The sequence below is a fragment of the Homo sapiens genome, chromosome 4 (assembly GCF_000001405.40).
Source record: "Homo sapiens chromosome 4, GRCh38.p14 Primary Assembly".
NCBI lineage: Eukaryota > Metazoa > Chordata > Mammalia > Primates > Hominidae > Homo > Homo sapiens.
This window is the reverse complement of record NC_000004.12, coordinates 88,576,459-88,600,275: the sequence shown is the minus strand read 5'-3', so window position 1 is coordinate 88,600,275 and position 23,817 is coordinate 88,576,459. Positions and strand designations below refer to the sequence as shown.

Below are 23,817 nucleotides of genomic sequence, written 5' to 3'. Positions count from 1 at the left end.
TACAGAGTATAACAAGTCCCTTCTTTGTTTACTTAAGCTTATTTATTTATGCTTGTTTGAATCAGGTTTCTTTCACTTGCAATAAAAAGAAACTCCTGACTGATAATATTAATAATGACATTATTAATAATAACAGCAGATAAGACCTGATTTGAGCTTACTCTGAGTCTGGTACTTTTCTATGTGCTTCACAGATGTTGGCTCATTTCATCTTCTATGAGACAGGTACTGCCATTATCTCTAATTTACAGATGAAGAAAGTGAAACTAACAAAAAAAAGATGAAGTAAAGGAAAAGAAAGAGACACTATGCTGTGCTGTATAGTAAGGAGCTTAGAAAGTAGATAACCAAAAGGCCAGACTTCCCAATGTGTCTGCACCACTCTCCAGAGAAAACAGGGACCCTGATCAGTCAACCTGGCTATCTGACCCGCTAAGTAATTCTTTCCTAAAAGTGGATGGGTGGATCAGATTCCATAACAGTTGTCACTAAATTCACCCAACCAATTGCCTTGCTTAGCAAGCAACCTTAAATAACTTGGTTTCTAGGGCAGATTCTACTACAGGGATAGAATACTGTGACCAGGTAACCAAAGCATCTCAGTCTTATTAGGATTTCTAATTCTCATTATTAATTTGGCGTCCTGGGTCTATCAGCTTTTTTTGTAGTTTATCTGGCACGAGTCAGTCCTTGAGAGTCATCTGAGTTCTGGGTGCTTTGGCCAAGCACAATCCTGTGTAAACAGCCTGAAGTATGGCCTCATCCCTGACTGACTAGTAAAAACAATTTATGAAAAAAGATAATAAAAAGGACTATTGTTCAAGAAAACTTCAAAAATTCTTCCAACTGAGTTACAGTAATGGAATCTTCAATTGGTCAAATAAAAACTGCCCACCAAGAGAATTAAATAGCAACCACAAAAAAGATGTGTATCTGTAAATAAACTATCAATCCTAACTATAAATACGGCCTAGGTCATCACAATGCTCTGCCGGAACTAAAGAAAAAAGCAACTAAAATCATCTAGCTTTCAGGAGAGAAGTTCAACACATTGGAGAGAAGCCAGCCATTAGCACAGCTTTCACTTCAAAGTACACTCCAGTTGGACCCCTAAATCTTGTAGCTGCTGATGTCCATGACTTTAAAGGTCTAGTTTCAGCAACGGTCTGCATCGCTGGGCATTTTGATCTCCAAGGTCCTTACACCCATTTTTCCTCATTCACTCTCTTGCTTGCTCCTAGAAGAGCAGAATCTTTTATTTTCCTTCAAAATACACAATTATGAAATTCGCTGCAAAATATAGGACTACACTTCCCTCAGCACCTACACCAGCCCCGCTTGGCTGCATTTCCTGCCTCTTATTTCCCCATGACAAAACAAAAGGAAGGACTACTTTTGAAGTACAACTTTCTCTCAATGTCAACCTGGCACTTTCCTGAGTCCTTCTCATCTATTCTTGGTAAGAGATTCAAGATAATCTTAGCAGAGCTTAAGGGTCAAAGGAACTAAAATCCAAGCCCTACATTAACCACGTTAGCTGTGAAACCTGAGGAAAGATGTTTACCCACCTTAAGCTCCAAAATCAGGAGAAGGTGCTAGAGTGTTGTGAGGATTAATGAGAAAATGCATGTAAAAAGGGCTTAGCATGGTGCCTGGCATGTAGTAGTAAGTGACCAGTAAATGTCAGCTGCTTTAGTCAATGTTACTCCTACTCCTAGTGCTCTTCTTTGAGATTTCAGCAGACAGGACAATTCCCAAAAGAGGATGGGATTGTGACTCCTGTCTTCCTCACTGCAATTAGCACTAGCTGCATTCTGCCAAATCTGCACTACAGCAAAGTAGCATCACAACCATCTGCCATAACTTTCATGAAAGGGATTTGAGGTTGATAGGAGGAAGTTTTTTTGTGTGCATTTGCTTTTAAATTCTGGAGAGGGCATGGGTGGAGGGCGGTGGGGAGATAAATCTCTTTTTACTAGCTCTAGTGAGTTGAATGCTAAACGACAACCTTCAGTTCCTAAACTTTGTCTTATGATAAGACTATGCGACTATGCACACAGCAGCCTAACAACTCATTCTTATCCCTTTGTTTGAAAGGCACTGAGACCAAAATAACACTCAGGCAGGACTTCTAATCTCATTTAAAATAGGGATAAGCTTCCTTTCAAGTAAGCTTAGAAGCAATTACCTGAATGTTGTATATATGAAGAGGGTCTCTTTCAACAGCAGGAAAAGACAATGTCCAAAACCTTCAGTGCTTTGCAGATACTCCCCAAATTCAGGCTTTAAATAAATGTAGGGCCAAAACTAAAATGCAGAATTAACTCTGGTAACAAAGAAGATTCATTTTAATGACTTGCCTTATTATCAAAAATGTTCCTACCAAAGACAGAAATGTCATAGAAGGCAAAGAGAAGTTTTCAACAACGTGAATCCACTCCTTGCTGTTTTCTCTCTCCTCCACTTTAGCTGGACTTTGGTCCTCTGACCCCCTCAGCCAACACAGGAAACACTCCTACCCTTCCCCGGATCATCCCCTCTAAGGTGGTGCCTTCTTCACTACCTGGTGCTAGGCTTTGTGAAGCTGGAAGAATGACTTCTCTGCAGTCTGCTTAAGCTGTGGACTGCCTTCAAAAGACACCAACGAGACTGGCAAGAATTGAAAAGTCTAACAATACCAAGTCAAGGATATACAACAGCCAGGGCCCTCATAGACAGCTGGTGGGAATATAAACTGGCATAAGCACTTGGCAAAACAAGTTGGCATTCTCCAGTGAAGATGAAGATGTGGATACCTCCCCACACAGTAATTTCACTGCTGGGCATATGACCAGCATTATCCAACTTATTAAGCATCTATGGTGCTCCTGTACTATACTAATAAATGGAGATACAAAGATGAGTAAAATCTGGAAACTTGGAACTTTCTGTGATAATGGAAATGCTATATATTTGCACTGTCCACTATGGTAGCCAGTAGGTATATGTGGCTATTGAGTACTTGAAATGTGACTAATACAAGTGAAGAACTGAAATAGTTAATATTTTATTTTAATAAATTTTAATGTAAGTAGCCCTAGGTGACTAGTGGCTATCTTACAGTCCAATGCAGTGAGAAACTCATGAACATATGCACCAAGATACACGTATAAGAATGTTCATTCCAGCATTATTTGAAATAGGAAAAAAACAAAAAACAAATATCCATCAATAAGAAAACAGATAGTGTGGCACATGCATAAAACAGAACACTGTACAGCAGTAAAAAATAAACTCCATCTATAAGCATCATTGTAACTAAATCTTAAAAAGTGTTGAGTCACAGAAGAATTCAGAGTATGATGCATTTTTACAAAATTCAAACACAACTATAACAAATATATTATTTGGAGATTAAGAATCATCAGTGGTAACAAAGCTATGAAGAAAAGCAAATCACAAACACAAAATAGCGGGTAATGATTGTGGAGGCAGTAGGAATAGAGGGAACAATCTGGAAGGAGCACAAAGGGAGACATTTCAATAGCATGGCTGATATTCTGCTTCTGTCCTTTTATTGTTGTTTCTTAACATATATGACATGCATTATTTTATGCTTACAAATACTTCACAAAACAAACAAAAATGCAAAGCGCTGTTGAGGCAGTATGGCTGCTTCTCCTACCTCCTCCACTAACACCCTGCCAACGTGCAGACTGGGAGTTTCTCCATGAAGGAACCAGGTTTTACTCATCTTTGTGCCTTCCATTCTCAGCAGAGTACAAGAGCACAGCAGAGGCTTGATAAATGCCTAGTGAACTGACCCCCATTCTTAGAAAACCTGAATTTCCACCACCTCAACTTGTAACCACTTTTATTTTCCAGATAATGTTAAAGATCCCCCACCCTGAGTAATAATAAAACCAGTTCACTTACACAGAAACACATGTCCCTGCCACCAACAAGTACTATTTCTAAATGGAGTAAATGTCTAAAGGGGACAGAGTTATATTATCAAATTTACCACCTTATTAAAAGTCCATTTGATCTAACCTCTAAGCAAAAGACTTACATTCCTAAATTCATTTTAATGGCAGCTAAGGCCTTCAGAGGCCAAGTAACTTTGGTCCACTAAGAATTAAGTGCTTGGCCAGGCGCGGTGGCTCACGCCTGTAATCCTAACACTTTGGAAGGCCGAGGCAGGCGGATCACGAGGTCAGGAGATCAAGACCATCCTGGCTAACACAGTGAAACCCCGTCTCTACTAAAAATACAAAAAATTAGCTGGGCGAGGTGGTGGGCACCTGTAGTCCCAGCTACTCGGGAGGCTGAGGCAGGAGAATGGCATGAACCCCGGGGGGCGGAGCCTGCAGTGAGCCGAGATCCCGCCACTGCACTCCAGCGTGGGCGACAGCCAGACTCCCTCTCAAAAAAAAAAAAAAAAAAAAAAAAAAAGAATTAAGTGCTTGAAGCAGAGACCAGAAACCAGGTCTCCTACTTCTTGGGCTCACCTTGTTCTCTTCACTATCTTAGAGCAGCAGGAAGGCACTGAGATTTGTTTAGGTCCCTCTCTAGGTAGCTACCCTAGCTTGAGTTGATGAGAGTATTAAACAGGATAATGCATGTAAAGGACTCCATTTACAAGATGAAAAACTGAGGTCCAGAAAAATTAAGTAACTCACCACAGGTCACACACTTGGCATTGGACTAGAAGCCAGAAATATTCCACACCTTGCAGTTCTGCAAGTTAAAGAAATAATAAATAACATTAGTATGGAACTCTGTTGTGTCTTCATGTTACTGTAAACAAAAAGACAGGAGTTAACCTCTGAAAATAAGAATATCTTTAAATTACTCAATCTTGAATATTCCCCACGCATTGTATCTCAAGACAGGAGTTTGGTTAAATACCAGTAAGATAACCTCTAACCAGTTATAAAGACATCAATCACCTCTAAAAGTGAACTAGAGATATAGATATCACCTTATAAAAATTCCTGACATTTGATAGGGAGTAGTAAAAATGGAATTACTTTAAAATCTCCCATTTTTGTTAGAGAAAATTTTGGAAAATAATTAAATTTTGTCTATTTTCTTTATTTTTCCATGTATGACACATAGCAGCTTGTTTTGCCACAACTGTTATGAAGACTGTCTCCTTTCATTCCTTTTCTTTTTTTTTTTTTTTTTTTTTTTGAGACAGAGTCTGGCTCTTTCACCCAGGCTGGAGTGCAGTGGCCGATCTCGGCTCACTGCAACCTCTGCCTCCCAGGTTCAAGCGATTCTCCTGCCTCAGCCTCCCAAGTAGCTGGAATTACAGGCGCCCGCCACCACGCCCAGCTAATTTTTCTATTTTTAGTAGAGAAGGGGTTTCACCATGTTGGTCAGGCTGGTCTCCAACTCCTGACCTCAAGTGATCCACCCGTCTCAAGCCGCCCAAAGTGCTGGGATTACAGGTGTGAGCCACTGCGCCCAGCCAGTCACTGCACCCGGTCTTTCCCTTTTCATTACCACATCCTCCATCATGCAAAATGAGAAGAGATCATCTCAGAGAGATACCTAAAGTATCTCAAAAGAAAAAGTCCTCCATGATTTTAAGATATTTTTGTCAAGCACTTTAGGAGGCCCAGGCGGGTGGACAGCCTGAGCCCAGGGGTTGGAGATCAGCCTGAGCAACATGGCAAAACCCCGTTTCGTCTTTTGGCGAAACCAAAAACTACAAAAAATTAGCTGGGCATGGTGGTGCACGCCTGTGGTCCCAGCTACTTTGGAGGGTAAGGTGGCAGATTCGCTTGAGCCTGGGAGGCGGAGGTTGCAGTGAGCCGAGATCGCACCAGTGCACTCCAGCCTGTGCAACAGAGCGAGACCCCCCATCTCGAAAGAAAAGATATTGTCATAACTTTATTTCTACCTCTCTATGCAGAAAATCCCATTCGATCTGGAGAATAGTACTTTTACTTATAAAACTGAAGCATAACTATCTTGTGTCTCCAGTAGGGGTACTACTACTCTCATTAAGTATAAAAAAAGTTTTTAATTGGTCATACAAATCTTAAGAAATTTAAATTTGGTCTTCAGAATGAAATGCTATAACGAATGGCTTCAAGCACACAACATGGAACATTCTGAAATCCCTGTTTCTTTTTCAAAAAGTAAACTCCAGCTACTTACTGAACAAGAACTGGATGCTAGTGCTAATGTGCTAATTTTGTTTTTCATGCCAAAGGAGTTCTGCCAAAGAGGTTTCTAACCTGTCCTCCTTGTTCCCTGCATTATACTTTTTACAGAAAGTTCCTAGCCTCGAAGGCGGTACGACCATGATGTAAAATATGTAATTCAATTATTTTGCTTTAGGATATGCAATCCATGTACTTTGCTTTTCTGATTTATAATGCTACTCCCTCCTCCCCCAGGGTAAAGGAAAGTACAAAAGGAGAGAGCTTCACAGTAATCTGCCGACTAAAACATGATACCCGATCACCGCATTTAAAACTTTTTATTTTTTCATTTCTCTCAAGTCTAGAGTTGAAAAATCAGCTCACTTGATCTTATCTAATCATCAAATAAAAGGTTCTAGAAATAGCTTCTTATTTGTGGAAAGAGCCAGAAGACACATACAAATGGAAGAGAGCTCTTGAATCGTCTTTCCCAAAGCATTCTATGCGTGATGAATGCAAGCAAAATCCTGGAAGGCTTTTCTCTGAATTAGGTACTTCCTAATTGAGCTCATTTGAAAGCTGATGTAAAATGCAATCAGAAAGCAGCCAGAAACAGTGACAGACCAACAGCAAAGTTCAAATACTTATTCCCTGGAGCTCATGCTGCATACACATATTCCGTGCACAGTCGCATTAGGTACTGTCTCCATAGGCTCACCTGTTTCAGGTTACACATGCTCCTCTCGGTCTGGTTGCCCTGGTTTGCCCACTCCACACATTCACAAATGACTCAAGTCTCACCTGCCCCCGGCCGTCCCAGCTCCTGACACCCCCGCGTCGGTCCGCACCGACGTGTCGGCGTACACACACACACACACCCGTACACACGTGTCCGCACACACCCTCGCCCCCGGCCCCGCCCAGGAGGCGGACCCGGGAGAGGCGAGCCGGCCCGGCCTCCGCGAAGTGGGTGGTGCCGGGCCCCGCAGCCCTGCCGGCGCTGTCATCGCGGACGCCGTGCACCGCGTCCTCGGCGCAAACTCCTCGCGGCCGCTGAGGTTCCCCAAAATGCCAGGGCCTCGCCAGCTCCCATTTCAATTGAAAGCGTCCGCGCCCCTCACTGCACGGAGGTCCCTGGAACCCCAGAATTTAAATAGGGGCAGGGGGCGAGCATAGGGACTATCCTCCTTTTGACTTTCTGCGTCGCAATTCCTCCCGGGCGGCAGGGCGGGAGGGCGGCCGAGCGCGGGCGGGAGGCGCTCCCATTTTGAAGGCTTGTCTCGCCTTTCCCGGCGCGGGGCTCTCTGACCGGAGGGCGAGCCCACGAGAACGCCAGGGAGGCGTACGCAGGGTACTAAGGGCGCCGCGCCCCAACCTCCCCGCGCCCCAGACCCAGGTCGTCTCTGGAGGTGCCTGCAGCCCCCGCCGCCGGAGCCACGGGAGGAGCCGCAGCCGCCCCTCCGGGAGCCGCGCGCTGACTGCAGTGCCAGGCGGAACGCGGCCCAGCGCGGCTGCAGCTCCGCCGTACCCCCCTCCCTGGAACCCCGGCCCCCGCCCTGCGCACCTCGGCAGCAGCCGAACCGCAGCTTGGGACTCCGACTGTCACAGCCCCTCTCGCCGGACCCGGGGTTTCTCCGTTTTCGGCGTCACAATAATAAGGAAGTTTCCCCGCAAGCCTGCGGGCGGCGGAATGCGCTGGGTGAATGGCTTCGCACCGGGCCAATGGGCGCCGTTCTGGGATGGGCCCGCGCCAATGGCGGCCGCCGTGGCACGGGCTGGAGGCGGGGCGGCAAGGTCCGCGGGCAGGAGGAGGGGAGAGGCCCAGGCCCCAGAGCCAGGCGCAGGCTGCCCGAGGTGACAGGACTCGAGGGCCCGGCGCGGGGACAGCGGCACGGGTGTGTCAGCCGAAATCGGACTGCAAGACATAGAGCGTTGACGCTGAAATAAGATTGCTTTTCACTGGCGGGGAAGCGAGCTGGACCGATCAGCGGTTGCCTATTCAGGTTCTGGACTCTGGTTTTTATTATTTATGAAGAGGTGACCGAAAGCCTTGGGCACGGGGGAAAAAGCTGGAGGGTGACAATTGAGGGAGAGTGCGCTAGTCTTCTGCTTTACTCCCCTTCGTAGGACTGTAGGAAGCGCGGCGCCGGCCCGCGGCGCTGCGCGGTGGGAGAGGCGGGGAAGGAGGTACGCGGCAGCCGCCGGCGCTCTTCTGGAGAGGTGGGGATCGAAGACCGGCACGGGGCTGCGGAAGAAAGGCGGGCCTGGGGGAGGCTGGAGGGTGGACCCGGGGGGAGCATAGCAAGAAGAGTCTGAGCACCAGATCTTAAAATCTTGTAATCTGAAAGACACTCTGTGGCCTATACCCAGTAACGGATTTTTTAAAAGTTTGTCCTCTTCCACTTTTCCCTAGCGCCGAATCCCAGAGCTTCCTCCCCCTCCCCAAGGTCACTAGTGCTTTCATACTTGCCCTAGACCTGATCTGATCCACAGCTAATCTTTTGCAGAAAACCTCAGAAAGGTGACTTCATGTGTCTGCCCCCCTTAAATGTAAAATGCAGAACACTGGCACGGTACTGCTTTAATCCAAAGGAATAACTCTCCCAGTGGAAGAATTTCTATAACCTGGCATTTGAAGCAGGAAGGCCCTTTGAGGATAGATTCTTACCAAGGACATTCAAATCACCTCAGGTCTGCAATCGCTCGTCCTGAGAACCTAACAGACTGACCAAGTAGAAAAGAAAGTTTCAAGGAGTGGTGTATCCTGGGGATGAGACGTTGTTGGCTGACTGACAGTGTTGAGCCCTCCGTGAAATAATGCAAATTGTCCAGTACACTGAGACAAGAAAGCTAAAAAAGCAGAATCTAAGTTATCAGGTCATCTAAGAAAAAATCCAAACCTTTGAAATTTGGATCACACTTGACACGTTTAGAAACACTGGGGATGGCCAGGCGCGGTGGCCCATGCCTGTAATCTCGGCACTTTGGGAGGCCGAAGCCGGTGGATCACTTGAGGTCAGCAGTTCGAGACCAGCCTGGCCAACATGGTGAAACCTTGTCTCTACAAAAAAAAATACCAAAATTAGCCGAGTAGGGTGGTGTGCGCCTGTAGTCCCAGCTACTCAGGAGGCTGAGGCAGGAGAATCACTGGAACCTGGAAGGCGGAGGTTGCAGTAAGCTGAAATCAAGCCACTGTACTTACTCCAGCCTGGGCAACAGAATGAAACGTTGTCTCAAAAAAAAAAAAAAAAGAAAGAAAAAGGAAAAAAGAAACACTGGGGACAAGAGTAACACAATTCACTTATATTCCAGATATGTGGCAGTTTCACAAAAGTTTAGTCTATTACAAAGATGCAATCCCAATTTAGAGATGCTGTTGGCAAAAGAACTGGTTAAATGCCCAAAGAGGAGTCTGGTAGGAAGACGAAGGAGTCCGGTACTTGCAAAGGAGAAAGTGAGAGATCCTATTGTTAGGTGTCACATATGAGGTTTGTAATCAATCAGTGTTTGGGTTGATATGTCTGGCCCATGGCTCAAGTGTTTTTCTTTTTTTGTTGTTGTTTTTTTGTTTTTTGTTTTTGAGACGGAGTCTCGCTCTGTCGCCCAGGCTGGAGTGCAGTGGCGCAAACTCGGCTCCCTGCAAGCTGCGCCTCCCGGATTCACGCAAGTCTCCTGTCGCAGCCTCCTGAGTAACTGGGACTACAGGCGCCCACCACAACGCCCGGCTAATTTTTGTATTTTCAGTAGAGACGGGGTTTCACCATGTTAGCCAGGATGGTCTCAATCTCCTGACCTCGTGATCCGCCCACCTCGGCCTCCCAAAGTGCTGGGATTACAGGCGTGAGCCACCGCGCCCGGAGTTTGTTTTTTTGAGAAGGAGTCTCGCTCAGTTGCCTGGGATGGAGTGCAGTGGCGCGATCTCTGCTCACTGCAACATCCACCTCCCCGGCTCAAGCAATTCTCCTGCCTCAGCCTCCCGAGTAGCTGGGATTACAGGCGCTCACCACCACACCCGGCTCATTTTTGTACTTTTAGTAGAGGCGGGATTTCACCATGTTGGCCAGGCCGGTTTAGAACTCCTGACCTCAAATCATCTGCCCACCTCGGCCTCCCAAAGTGCTGAGATTACAGGCGTGAGCCTCCGTGCCGGCCGGCTCAAGTGTTTTTCATATGAAATTTCATCTTGAGGAAAAGGATGGTTATCAAAGACTCAAGCCTAGAAATGGGATAGGAGCAATGTATAAATAACAAGTTAGGATACTGTAAGCTTCTTTTACCAAATAAATAGCCAAACCCTGAGAACTTACATAGAACTTACATAGAACAGTAAAGATACCACAGTACTTCGATTTATTTTTTTTCATTGGGACAACATATAATGACAATTTCCTTAGCAAGCATGTCCTGCTTCAAAATGGCTTTAAATGGCTCCAGCATCAGCAATAGTCTTAACAGCAGATACGTAAACTGTTTTGAAGAGGCCATGGTTTACTTTTTCCTTCCATTTCTATAGCCCTGTCTTCCATCCATTTCTTTCTGCATTCTCATATATTCTCTAACAAACGTACTATATACTGAGCACCTACAATAATGTCAGCCCCTGTGAATACATTGGTAAGCAAAACAGTACAGTCTTTGTTGCCATGAAAGGGGAGACAAACATTAACCAAATAATTGTACCAAGGAATATATACTTGCTAACCTGTATAAATTTTATAAAAGAAAAACATTCATGTTAAAAATAAAAGGCTTAATAAATTCTAGGCTCATGCCCCTGTAATCCCAGGGCTTTGGGTTACAGGCTGAGGCAAGAGCATCGCTTGAGGCCAGGAGTTTGAGACCAGCCTGTGCAACATAGTGAGTCCCTGTCTCTCCAAAAAATAAAAATAGGCATGGTGGGGCACGCCTTTAGTCCTAGCTACTTGGGAGGCTGAGGTGAGAGAATAGCTTGAGCATAGGAATTCGAGGTTGCATTGAGCTTTGATGGCACCACTGCACTCCAGCCTGGATGACAGAGGAGACTCCAAATACACACACACACACGCACACACGCGTGCACATACACACACACACACACATATAACCATAACTTTTTTTTTAAGAGACAGGATCTTGCTATGTTGCCCAGGCTGGCTTCAAACTCCTAGACTCAAGCAATCCTGCTGCCTTAGCCTCCCGAGGAGCAAGGATTAAACTAACCATAACTTTTGACAGGGGGACAGGACCATGTGGTTCAGCTCTATCACTGGTTAGACAAGGTATGCCCAGTGGCAAGGGGATGGTGCCCAGGGCTGCTGCACTTCTACCTGAACACATGCTGATTTCCTCCATTAGTTACCATTCACTTCTTAAAATACATCTATTTTCAAATGAAACCATTTTTCAATAGAATGGTAATACTGTTTAATGATAATTGTTTTCCTTTCTTCCCTTTGTTTAATTTACTTGCCTTGCAGACAAATATTTACTTGGTAAACTTTGAAAGAGATAGATTTCTGATATCTTGGATGAAATCTGTGGAAAAAAACAGGCTACCCAGGACATTCTGTCTCTCAGATACACCATTGAAGAATAAATATCTTTAGGAGGGAAAAGCACTGACTGATTATTTGACAAGTAAAAAGTATGTGTACCTTGTATGGTTATGTAATGACAAAGGTGTTTCTTGGTCCCCCACGTCCAAAAGAAGTACTTACTTTCTCAGTCTAGTCAGTACTTAATGGAAAAATCAGTCTATCTATACCCAGACTAAACTTATTAAAAACTGTCCTGTAACACACAGCATTGATTTATTAATATGAAACAACTTAGAATAAAAACATTATGGTAAATCAGTATTACCATCAAATAATCTTTTAATATTATTGAATATGTTCCACCTGTAGTACTGCTAGACAAGAAGCATCATTCCTGACTACAAAGAGCTTACAGCCCTTATGATTATTTCTCTATCTTCCTTGAAACTATTCATGGTTTGTTTGCATTTTTTTCTTATCAAGCCATTTGGATGAAGCATAAGAATCTTACCTTAATTATGAGAAACTCATTGTTTTCATATAAATTAAAATGTATTAATGATAACAGGATTGGATGGTTGAACATTTTCTAAGAAAACCTTTAAGTTGAGCATTAGCTGGTCTCTGAAGATTTCATCCAATAAAGCCTTTAGGAAGTGAAGTATTTCGTGAAGGTTCCTCCTTTTAAAAAGTCCCTTAATATGTGCTCTTAGAAATGGCATCCCACATTTCACTATGACTGGACTGGCAAAATAAGTGCTTGGGCAAAAGCAGCAAAGATCACGTTTGTCATCATGTAGCTGCACAGAATACATGCATGTAACTGCCAAAAATCAGGCAGCTGTCTCACCCTTCTAGAGGCAAAGAAACATAGTCTTCCAAAATTTACTTGTGTAAAACCAAAATAAAATCATAAATGTGAAAAAAATCTCCTTCCTTTGAAGTTATACTAAATCTGGGTCAAAGGAAATTTAAGGAATTTTGTTATTTCCTAGAAAAGCTAAAGTGAACCTGTGGAATTTCAAGAAGGCATACCTATAACAATATTAGACAGCTTTATAGGTTGGCCATAAAAATCTGTAAACACAGCAAATATACCTAATAAATGGTTTGTTGTTATTACGTAATATGTTTAGTGACATTACATGATATGTTCAGTGACATTACATGGTATGTGAATTGTGTTGTCCCTTGTAACAATGCTCATGTTACAAAGCATGGTGCATTGATACAACATTTTTCCCAATCCAAGCAAAAGCAAAATCAGCTGCAATGTGTTGCCTCAGTTGATTTCTCCCTCTGATTTCTCCTGAATAAACCTGTACCTTTAGCATACCTCAGAAGAAGTAAGTAATCAGGGAGTTCAATGTGTAAAATCAATATATACTATAATATTATTTACTTAAGTCTGTAAAAAATAAAATAACATTGTCTGTGTTTCCAGACTTTACGGCCACCTTTTTATAAAGGTAAACTGGTATTTAACTTTCTGTTGACCTTCAGCATTTTATTTTCAGCCTACATATAGGTAAAAGCCCAGTGAAATCTGCCATTGTATTTACTTTTAAGTTGTTAACAGATTATTCTTCTCACAGATACTATAGATACTGTAATTGACTCTGTTTATCTCTTTCTGTTGGCTCTCGAAAGCCTAGAGCAAAATGTGTGGCCCATCTGTACAGAATCTTATTGCTTGCATTTTTAGAAGTAACCTCAAGGTTCATTTTAACTTTCTTATATCATTTTTCCCATTGTACTCATTTCCTTACCTACTTAAAAAAATGAAAAGCAACTTGTTTTTCTCTTCCCAAATATAAAATATATTTGCTATATGAAATGTGTTAAATACATATAAGAGAAAAGAAGAAAGTGAAATGATCTGTCCTTTTCACTGACCACATTTAGTTCTTGATAGTTTGGCATTTTCCAATGCATACATATACATTTTAAAAAGTGGCTTATTCGGCCAGGCGTGGTGGCTCATGCCTATAATCCCAGCACTTTGGGAGGCGGAGGCGGGTGGATCACCTGAGGTTGGGAGTTCGAGACCAGCCTGGCCAACATGGCAGAAACCCCATCTCTACTAAAAATACAAAATTAGCCGGGCATGGTGGCACATGCCTGTAATCCCAGCTACTCAGGAGGCTGAGGCAGGAGAATCACTTGAACCCAGAAGGTGGAGGTTGCGGTGAGCTGAGATCACGCCATTACACTCCAGCCTGGGCAACAAGAGCGAAACTCCGTCTCAAAAAAAAAAAAAAGAAAGAAAAAAAAAAAAAGTGGCTTATTCTACACATAATATTTATCATTCATCTCTGAATTTAACAGCATATATTGAACATCTTTAATAGAATCATATACTATTCTGCAACATCATTTTAAACAATTGCATGGCATACGCAAAACGGATATGCTGTCATTTAACCAACTTCCCCCTGTTGAATGTTTAAATTGCTTTCAATTCTTTACTGCTATAAACAATTGTGCAACATAGCTAAACACAGTGAATATATCTAAATATTTGGCCTCACCCTTGATTATATCAGTAAAGTAAATTCCTAAAAGTGGAATTGCTAAGTCAGATAGAATGCAGACTCTTAAGATTTTGTAGTTTGCCAAGTTTCCCTAACAAAAGATGGCACCAGCCAAACACACACACGATATCTGAGTGGCTTCTCTCTAGCCCCCTTACCAGTAATTTTTAAAAAATCTTTCTTATTAATTTTGTAAGTCATTTTAAGTCATTACTGATATATGTGAAATACAAACAAAGAAAAATGTTAAAATCTTCTAGTTAAGTAAAAAGCAATGTGTACACATCTAAACATTAGCTTAGGTTAACATGTTTTTAAATATTCATATCAAAAATCACCTAAATGCCTAAAAATTTATGATTAGGGTTGTTGTTCCTTTGCCAAAATTTTGTTTGGTGTCATATATTTCCCCCACCCCTCCCACATACCTGCCAAAAATAAAGTTTCCAGAAAGGAAGTTCTATACAAACTCAAATTGTTGTTCATCATTTTCATCTTTAGTACACATGCACAAGCCAATAAAAGTGAGTCAATATTTCACCAAGTTCCATAGCAAAAAAAAAAAAAAAAGCAAAGTATCAAAATTTGTCTCATCATCAATAGAATGATAGCCAGAGAAGACATTTTATTGTCCATTTCTCAAAAAGAAAACTTAGTGTCGTGATTTATATTATCCATCATGGTCCAATCACCTTCACTATCAGTCACTTCATCAATGTGCCCCATGCTTTATATAGGAAAACCACCTACTAACCAACTACAAGATGGACATGTACTTTGAGTACTTTTGTAACCTGCTGTGGTTGAATATTTGTGTCCCCACTAAATTCATATGTTGAAATCCTAACCCCCAGGGTGATGGTATTTGGAGGTGTGGGACTTTTGTAGGTGATTACATCATGAGAGTTGAGCCCTTGTGACTAGAATTAGTGCCCACATAAAAGAGACCCTATAGAGGTAGCTAGCCCCTTCCACCATGTGAGGACACAGTGAGAAGTCATCATCTGTGAACCAGCAAAAGGTCCTTACCCAACACCAAATCTGCTGGTGCCTTGATCTTGAACTTCTCACCCTCCAGAACTATGAGAAATAAATTTCTGTTTATAAGCTATCTAGTCTATGTATGGTATTTTGTTATAGTAGCCTTAACACACAAAGACACAACCTTTATGGGTGAAATATGCTATTCCATTCAAGTTGTCACCCAGATCCCTCTTGAATTAACTGGATAACATTTCAAGATATGTCTCTTAGTCCATTTTGTGCTGCTATACTAGAATACCACAGATGGGGTAATTTATAATGAACAGAAACTTACTGGCTCACAGTCTGGAGGCTAGGAAATTCATTATCAAGGTGCTGGCATCTGGCAAAAGCCTTCTTGCTGTGTTAACAAATGGCCAAAAGGTAAAGAGAGAGGAACTCTGTGTCCTCATGTGGTGGAAGAGCAGAAAAGCAAAGAGGCACAAACTCACCCTTTTTAAATGGCCTTAATCCCCCGCTGTGACAACTAAGCCCTCATGGCCTAATCACCTCTCTAAGATCCTACCTCTTAATACTGTTACAATGGCAATTTAATTTCAACATGAGCTTTGGAGGGGACAACATTCAAACGGTAGCAGTAGGTACATAACTGTCAGCATAGAATCAATTTAAATGACTTGCCCAATACCTGGAATGGAACGTGCACCCCGGGCCATGTTAGCTGTGTTCTAATTAACTGTGCTGATGTTTCTGAGGGTAAATGGCTTAGAATGTGTAGTCAGTTAAATAGTTTCCCTTCAAATTCATGTCTACCTGGAATCTCAGAATGTGCACTTATTTGGAAATAGGGTTGTTGCAGATGTCATTGGTTAAGATGAGTAATGCATCTATAAGCCAAAGAACACCAAGCCACCACCAGAAGTAAGAAGAGAGGCACAGAACAGATTCTCCCTCAGAGCTTCCAGAAGAAACCAATATTGCTGACACCTTGATTTCAAACTTCTAGCCTTCAGGATTGTGAGATAATAAATTCCTATTGTGTTAAGCCACCCAGTTTGTGATTCTTTAATATAGTAGCCCTAGCAAAGTAATATAAAAGGTAACTATGATGCTTTAAAAAGCATCAATTATAGGATTCAATGTAGTGTAGCTATGGCATCTGTCACCAGGTTAATTGCCAGAATTGACTGACTGCTCTGGCATCCTCCTAGTCCAGAGTTCCCTTCCTCTGAGAGCTCCATGTGTGTTCTTCCCAAAGTGTCAACTCAATCAAAAAGAATGACATTTCCAATCTGACAAAGTCTATTTTTAGTCAAGGTATGTGGGGAGCTGTACTCCCTGGCTAGAGCTTTCCAATAAGCACTGAAATCCCTTTGCAAGCAAATGTAGGTTAGCCAAATCTGTTTTTACAAAGCGCCCCTCTCCACCTGTGATTCTGTTAGAATATCAGTCAAATCATAGCTCCATATCAGTTTCACAGAAAGCATGTAGATTTATAAGATTAAACTTATATAAGCCTTGACCTTGATGAAGTCCTAGTCATTTCAAAGACAAGCCTTTATATTTTCTTTGATATTACATCAGAGCAGGTACTCCATAATTTATCATAGTAGAAGCTGAAAAATAATTACATATAATTACATTTTTTTTACTTTTTTTTTTTTTGAGAAGGAGTCTCACTCTGTATCCAGGCTGGAGTGCAGTGGTGTGGTGTGATCTCAGCTCACTGCAACCTCCACCTCCTGGGTTCAAGCAATTCTCCTGTCTTAGCCTCACAAGTAGCTGGAATTACAGGCACCCACCACCATGCCTGGCTAATTTTTGTATTTTTAGTAGAGACAGGGTTTTACCATTTTGGCCAGGATGATCTCAATCTCCTGACCTCGTGATCCACCCACCTCGGCCTCCCCAAGTGCTGAGATTACAGGTGCGAGCCACCATGCCTGGCCTACTTTCTTATTGAAATATTATTTATACCATAAAGCAAGACTCTGAATGTTCAGGTAAAACTTCATGTTGTAAGGAATTTTAAACTTTCCCTCTGGAAGTTCTGTAATTGAGTCTGCTGAAATAAATTGACAATAAACAAATTAACAGGAGAAGGCATACAAATTTATTAATGTGTACATGTGCACAAGAGGCACACAAAATATGAGACTCGAAGAGCCAGATGGTTGAAGTTTAAATACCCTCTTCATAGGAGAGAGGGAAGTGGGGGATGTAGGCAATTTGAGAGAAAGAGTAAATGATTTTTAGGTAAAATTAATGGTTCCAAAGGACAGACAGTAGCCTGGGACAAAGTTTCTCTGTGCTCTAGGGAAGGTGGCAGCAAGTTACAGGAAGGAGAGGGGCAGAACTGCACTGCGAACAAAGGTTGGCCTATTATGTAAATAAAGTCTCTCAGGTTAATAAAAAAGTTCCAGAGCAGCCTCCAGAAGAATAAGAATATCCTGTCTGGGCATGGTGATGACTTTTAATCTTTACTCGTGACTAATCTTGACTGGTTGTTTGATGCAATTCCTAGGGAGGGAGTTTAAGACAGTTACATTTCTTTTAAAAGAACTTCCCTCAGTCAAATATGGGAACTTCAGAGAAAACTTATCCCTGCACATTGGAAGGGAAGATGGGGAACAGCAGGTCAGGGAGAGAGAGAGACCTTGGTTCTGCAATTTATTTCTGAGGCCTTTTAATCTCTTTTGTTCGAAGCACTCAGCATGCCAAAGCACCATATTTTGGGATATTGTTTTCTGAGCCCCAACATTGTCTATGGAGAGGACCGATGAAAATTAATCATACCCATAGGAAACTCATCAAGTGCAGACCTAGTCCATTCCTCTCTATATCAAAAGGAAATCTTGACATTAAAAAAAATTTTTTTTAAAGCTTCAATGTTATACTGTAAAACAAAATGAAAACTATTCATTTTAGTCTATACAGAAATAGAAAACCAGTTATCTAAATAAATTGCTTAGGGGATAGATTCTGATCCCAGGTCAGCCTTTGAAGCATCCAATGAACTTGGCTATGCTTAATCTAATATGCATTGAGAAGGATGTCTTTAGTATACGGGGTTGACATCAAATTTAACTATAGAAACATTTCAGTTAGACATCAAGTGGGCAACTCTTGATGATTCCACTGAATAAGAAATAATTGCTGCTAATTAGAAGCTACCTTTTTTATGTCTCAACTAGTCTTTGAAAAGAGATTACCAGTGATATTATTTATTGAGTTATTTTAATATCCATTTTGTGAAGATATTAGTATTTGTTGTATTCAGAAAAATTCTATAAAAAACATAGATAAATATTCTGTAAAACACTGAAATAAAATCTTTTAAGGAAATATTTTCAGGCCAGGGGCAGTGGCTCATGCCTGTAATCCCAGCACTTTGGGAGGCCAAGGCAGGCAGATCACTTGGGCCCAGGAGTTCAAGACCAGTGTGGGCAACATGCTGAGACCCTGTCTCTATTATTTTTTAAAAAATAGAAAGAAAGAGGGCCGGGCACATTGGCACACACCTGTAATCCCAATACTTTAGGAGGCCAAGGTGAGCAGATCACCTGAGGTCAGGAGTTCGAGACCAGCCTGGCAAGCATGGCAAAACCCTGTCTCTACTAAAAATACAAAAAAAAAAAATTTAGCCAGGCATGGTCGCGGGCACCTGTAATCCCAGCTACTGAGGAGGCTGAGGCAGGAGAATCACTTGAACCTGGGAGGCAGTTGCAGTGAGCCCAGATCATGCCATTGCACTCCAGCCTGGGCAACAAGAGCGAAACTCCGTCTCAAAAAAAAAATAATAATAATAATAATAAGTAAATAAATAGAAAGAATATATTTTTAGCAGATAAAATAACTCTCAACACAGTAGGTTCTGCAGCCTCTTTACAAGCTGGCTCTAGAAACACAAGAATCCCTGAAATGGGTCTAGTAAGGGAAAAGAGAAGCAGGAATTATCAGTACCAAGCTGCAGCAAAAGAATGGGGAGTTTTCATGTGTTAACCTTTCTATTTTCTCTTTCCCTCTTCCCTTCCTCCTTTGCCCTCTGATGTGCCATGCCATTACAGCACCATACTTAACTTTCTTTTTTGATCATCTATCCCCTTCAGGAATCTGATGAAAGTTATACATGTTTTCTTCAGAAAATGATGCATATACTCATACAATTATGAACACCATTCTAGGAGTATTCATGGATTCTCTGCGTTTAGGGACGGACCTAATAACACTCCTCTTCCCTCATTATGAGCCTCTGCCTCAACCTCTTACCAAATCTTTCAATAAAAGAATCTGATAAATTCATTCATACCCAAATGCAATAAGGCTTAATATTTGGCCATTCTCTCATAGAAGAGAATTATAATTGAAGTGACATCATCTGTAACTAAAGGATGTAAGCATCATTGTACTATGTGGGAGCAGCATTTACCACCTAATGACTCCTTCCTGAAGACCCAAAATCAAACCCTCATATAAGGTTAACTTGATTTTGGGTGCCTACTCTTGAACTCAATTCAGAGTATATAGAATTGAATTCATCTTTCCCCCAGAAAATTAATTCCACTTCCTTTTTTTTCCTTTTTTTAAATTGAGACAGTCTCCCTCTTTTGTCCAGGCTGGAGTGCAGTGGTGTGATCTCAGCTCACTATAACCTCTGCCTCCTGGATTCTCCTGCCTCAGCCTCCTGAGTAGCTGGGGATCACAGGTGCCCACCACCACACCTGGCTAATTTTTGTATTTTTAGTAGAAACAGGGTTTCATCCTGTTGGCCAGGCTGGTCTTGAACTCCTGACCTCAAGCGATGCACCCACCTCAGCCTCCCAAAGTCCTGGGATTACAGGCATGATCCACTGCACCTGGACTAATTCCACTTTCGTTGCCTTCATAATCCAGGTTCAGAATCTTGAAATTACCTGGATCCTTCACTCTTCTCCTTTCGTCCAATCATCAAACACTGTCGTTTTTTATTTATAATGTCTTTCACATCCATCCCTTCCTCTATTTATTGGTTTCCTATTGCTGCTGTAACAAATGACTCCAAACTTAGTGGCCTAAAACAACACAAAATTTATTATTTTACAGATTCTGGAGGCTAGAAGTCTGAAATGAGTCTTATCGGGCTAACATCAACATATTGACAAGGCTGGCTTCCCTCTGGAGACTCCAGGAGATAATCCACTCCTTGCCTTTTCCAGCTTTTAGAAGTCTGCCATATTTAACAGTTCATGGCTTTATATCACCTTCTCCTAACTTCGACTCTCCTGATTCTTTCATGTAAAGACCCTGGTGATTACATTGGGTTAACCATGTTCATCCAAGATAGTCTCCTTATCTCAACATCTTTAATCATATTTGCATTTAAAAAAACATATGCACAGGTTCTGGGGATTAGGACATAGATATCTTGGCAGAGGGGGATAGATTATTCAGCCCACTGTACTCTATAATATCACCTCTTCCTCAACCCTACTTCTGGTCCTTATCTGTACCACTGAACTAGTTCAACATTTCCTAAACTGGTTTTCCTGACCCCAGCCTCTCTCCCAATTCCCCATCCATTCTACATACCAATAACAAATATTCATTAAAACTTAGTTCTTCATCCTATTCCCCATACCCATTCCAAGGCCCTGAACCTAGTTTACTTTAGGCTGGCATTGGTCACTCTTTTGTTTGTTTGTTTGTTTGTTTGTTTTTTCAGATGGAATCTCACTCTATCGCCCAGGCTGGATTGCAGTGACGCCATCTCGGCCCACTGCAACTTCCGCCTCCCAGGCTCAAGTGATTCTTCTGCCTCAGCCTCCTAAGTAGCTGGGATTACAGGCATGTGCCACCACACCTGGCTAACTTTCATATATATATATATATATATTTTTTTTTTTTTTAGTAGAGACAGGGTTTCACCACGTTGGCCAAGCTGGTCTCGAACTCCTGACCTCAGGGATCCACCCATCTTGGCCTCCCAAAGTGCTGGGATTATAGGCATGAGCCACTGCGCCCAGCCCACTCTTAACAAACTAATCTCCACACTGTCCCACAACCTACATAAACCAATTATTTGTTCAGATCATACCCGCTTCTTGCCTCCAAAATTCTGCCATTATGCTAAAGTTTACATAAGTCCCACCTCTTCCATGACTTCATCTCAACAGTTCCCAGTCACAATGTTTCTACTTTCTTTTACTTCCTACAGCATTTTTTGTAGGGGTGATGCCTCTAGCATTTATCACATGCTACTGGGTCTAGATCCTGTCTCCACCTCTTTCCCACTATATGATCTTAGACAAGTCATTTCCGTTTCCCATGCCTCTGTTTTCTTGTCTATAAAACTGATGATATTTATGCCCTAATTATAGGATTATGATGAGGGTTCAAAGAGATAACAAAGCATTTAAGATACTTAGCATGTAGTGTTACCTCCTCCTCCTTTTTCTTCTTATTTGCCTTCTTTAATATATGACCTAAATCCTTTGTGCTATTAAAAATTCCTTGAAGATTCTGACTATTTCTTTTTTTTTTTTTTATGATGGAGTTTCACTCTGTTGCTCAGGCTGGAGTGCAGTGGCATGATCTTAGCTCACTGCAACCTCCACCCCCCGGGTTCAAGCAATTCTCCTGCCTCAGCCTCCCGAGTAGCTGGGACTACAGGCGCCCCCCTCCACACCCAGCTAATTTTTGTATTTTTAGTAGAGATGGGGTTTCACCATGTTGGCCAGGCTGGTCCTGAACTCCTGACCTCAAGTGATCTACCCGCCTCGTCCTCCCAAAGTGCCGGAATTAAAGGCATGAGCAACCATGCTCAGCCAGTTACAACTACTTCTTATACATTATGCCATATACATTGGAGGCTCAATAGATACATTTTTTCTCACTATTGTTGTGGTGATGATAATTATGATAATGTAAAGGGACAATCTGATATTATTTTCACAACATTGATATGGTCCTTGACATTTCTGTTTCTCATTCTTGTTATATATGTGAATTCCTTCTTTTCTCTTAAACTGTTTACACTCCTGTTAACTGTGTAGAGAGATTCATGCTTAATTCATTGTGGAAACACCTAAAGACAATGCTTGGCAAACAGCTGGGCTTCATCAAATATTGGCTGAAGGAATGAATCTTCTAGTGTTACAGAATCTGCCTGTCACATCACCTCCTTTACCCATGATTGATAATCTGAAAAATGAAGAGATTGTATTTAATGATCTCTAAAGTCATTTGAAGCTCTAAAGTTCACTCATAGTACAATTCTGTGAATAGGGCCAGAAACTAATTTGACCAAGAAATAACCCTTTCTTACCTTTTGAATTGTTTCATCAAACAGTACTGTCATTTGATATCACCATTCTATGGTGCCAGTTTATAAAGTAAATCTGTTTATGGAGACAGAAAAGCAAATTTTTCCACTAATTGCTAAATATAAATTAAGTCAACCACTATTCAGTAGCTATTATTGGCAACTACCTTTGGTATTACAAACCTATTATATATATATACACACACATACACACATATATACATAGTATAAGATATCTTTTGTTCTAATGCAAAAAACAGTTTAGTCAAATATATATGTGGCACTTATATAAATATTCATTTGGTTGAAGGTAATATAATAAAATGTGCTTTTAAAGACAAATGTATAATTAAGGTTGAAAATGTGAAATTGTAGTCAATATGGGTTTTGGCCAGAAATAGCTAAGTCCCTGATCTATGTAAGTAACTTCTCCCCTTAAGGTCCACAAGGAAAATACATGCACAGAGGATTAAGCAAATAAAAAACTTGCTATTAGATGAGGCTTTAATGCCAAACCTCAGTGTGGAACTTTAGGGTACTTGTTTGGAACTTGGGTAAGAAGTACCTTTGCCTAAACTTCATTAGTCTAAAGGACCTTGAACCAAAACAGAGGCCTATTTTCTCTACATCTGCCCCATAGCTCAAATCCACAACTTAGATCTTGCTATTTTAATGTCCACTACAGTTGTATACCCCTTCCACAAGACTCTACTCAAAGCATGGCCTCAATAGTGTCCTTTAACTCTACCAATCTATAGCAGCAGCTCCTCCTCCTTAGAGGAGAGAAGAAATTGCCATGGCCAAAAATTGGAGGGAAAAAAGATAAATTCCTCCCTTACACCATATAGCAAAATAAATTCCAGATAAATTTGAGAAATAACGACAAAAGTTTCAGAAAAAAACTGAGGAAGTACAAAATTTTGTGGAGGGGAAGGAGTCTGTAAGCGTGGTACCATGAAAGAAAATGGAAAGGATTGATAGGCTTTATTATATGAAACTTAAAGCAGAAAATTAAACTCTATAAAAACGTTAAAAGGCAACATCCAAGTGGGAAAATATCTGTACTAAGAGCATTTTAAAATAAATTTGAAGAAATGATCCAAAAAAATAGCAGAGGCCTTGATTAGGTAACCACTACCACCTCCCCACCCCAACACACACACACGCACACATTAATGGGGAGACCTATCCAGCATTTTCTGCGAATTCTTCCCTTAAGAGAAAACATTTAAGTCAAAACCTTAAGGATGTGAAGAGTTGCCAGGTGGGAGAAGAGCATCCCTGGGAGAGTGAACAGCATGTGTGAAAGTTCTGAGGCTGGAAAGAGCTTGTCATGTCAAGGCACT

General features: G+C 41.6%; 1 protein-coding gene and 1 pseudogene across 10 annotated transcripts in view, besides 3 other annotated features; one reads left to right on the top strand and one right to left on the bottom strand.

Annotated features, from left to right (window-relative positions):
• The window catches only part of HERC3 (HECT and RLD domain containing E3 ubiquitin protein ligase 3), a 184,697-nt gene that overhangs the window by 108,264 nt on the left and 52,616 nt on the right, over positions 1–23,817 (bottom strand). For 7 of the 10 annotated variants that reach the window (NM_014606.3, NM_001375480.1, NM_001375478.1 and 4 more), the window contains exons 1-2: positions 7,702–7,796; positions 4,662–4,719 (exon numbers count right to left, since the gene is read on the bottom strand). The gene's annotated coding sequence lies outside the window, so the exon portion shown is untranslated. Of the gene's footprint in view, positions 1–2,188; positions 2,327–4,661; positions 4,720–7,701; positions 7,797–23,817 lie in introns of those variants that run through there. The other 3 variants (NM_001375479.1, NM_001375483.1, NM_001375482.1) reach the window with 3 other exon arrangements.
• Positions 6,771–7,180: a silencer, noted in NCBI's record as "silent region_15566". NCBI's record gives its function as "represses an Ori minimal core promoter by ATAC-STARR-seq in GM12878 lymphoblastoid cells {active_cell/tissue: GM12878}" and the evidence as "EXISTENCE:reporter gene assay evidence [ECO:0000049][PMID:35858748]".
• Positions 7,501–8,060: a silencer, noted in NCBI's record as "silent region_15565". NCBI's record gives its function as "represses an Ori minimal core promoter by ATAC-STARR-seq in GM12878 lymphoblastoid cells {active_cell/tissue: GM12878}" and the evidence as "EXISTENCE:reporter gene assay evidence [ECO:0000049][PMID:35858748]".
• Positions 8,231–8,290: a silencer, noted in NCBI's record as "silent region_15564". NCBI's record gives its function as "represses an Ori minimal core promoter by ATAC-STARR-seq in GM12878 lymphoblastoid cells {active_cell/tissue: GM12878}" and the evidence as "EXISTENCE:reporter gene assay evidence [ECO:0000049][PMID:35858748]".
• Positions 16,304–16,610, top strand: RN7SKP244 (RN7SK pseudogene 244; annotated as a pseudogene).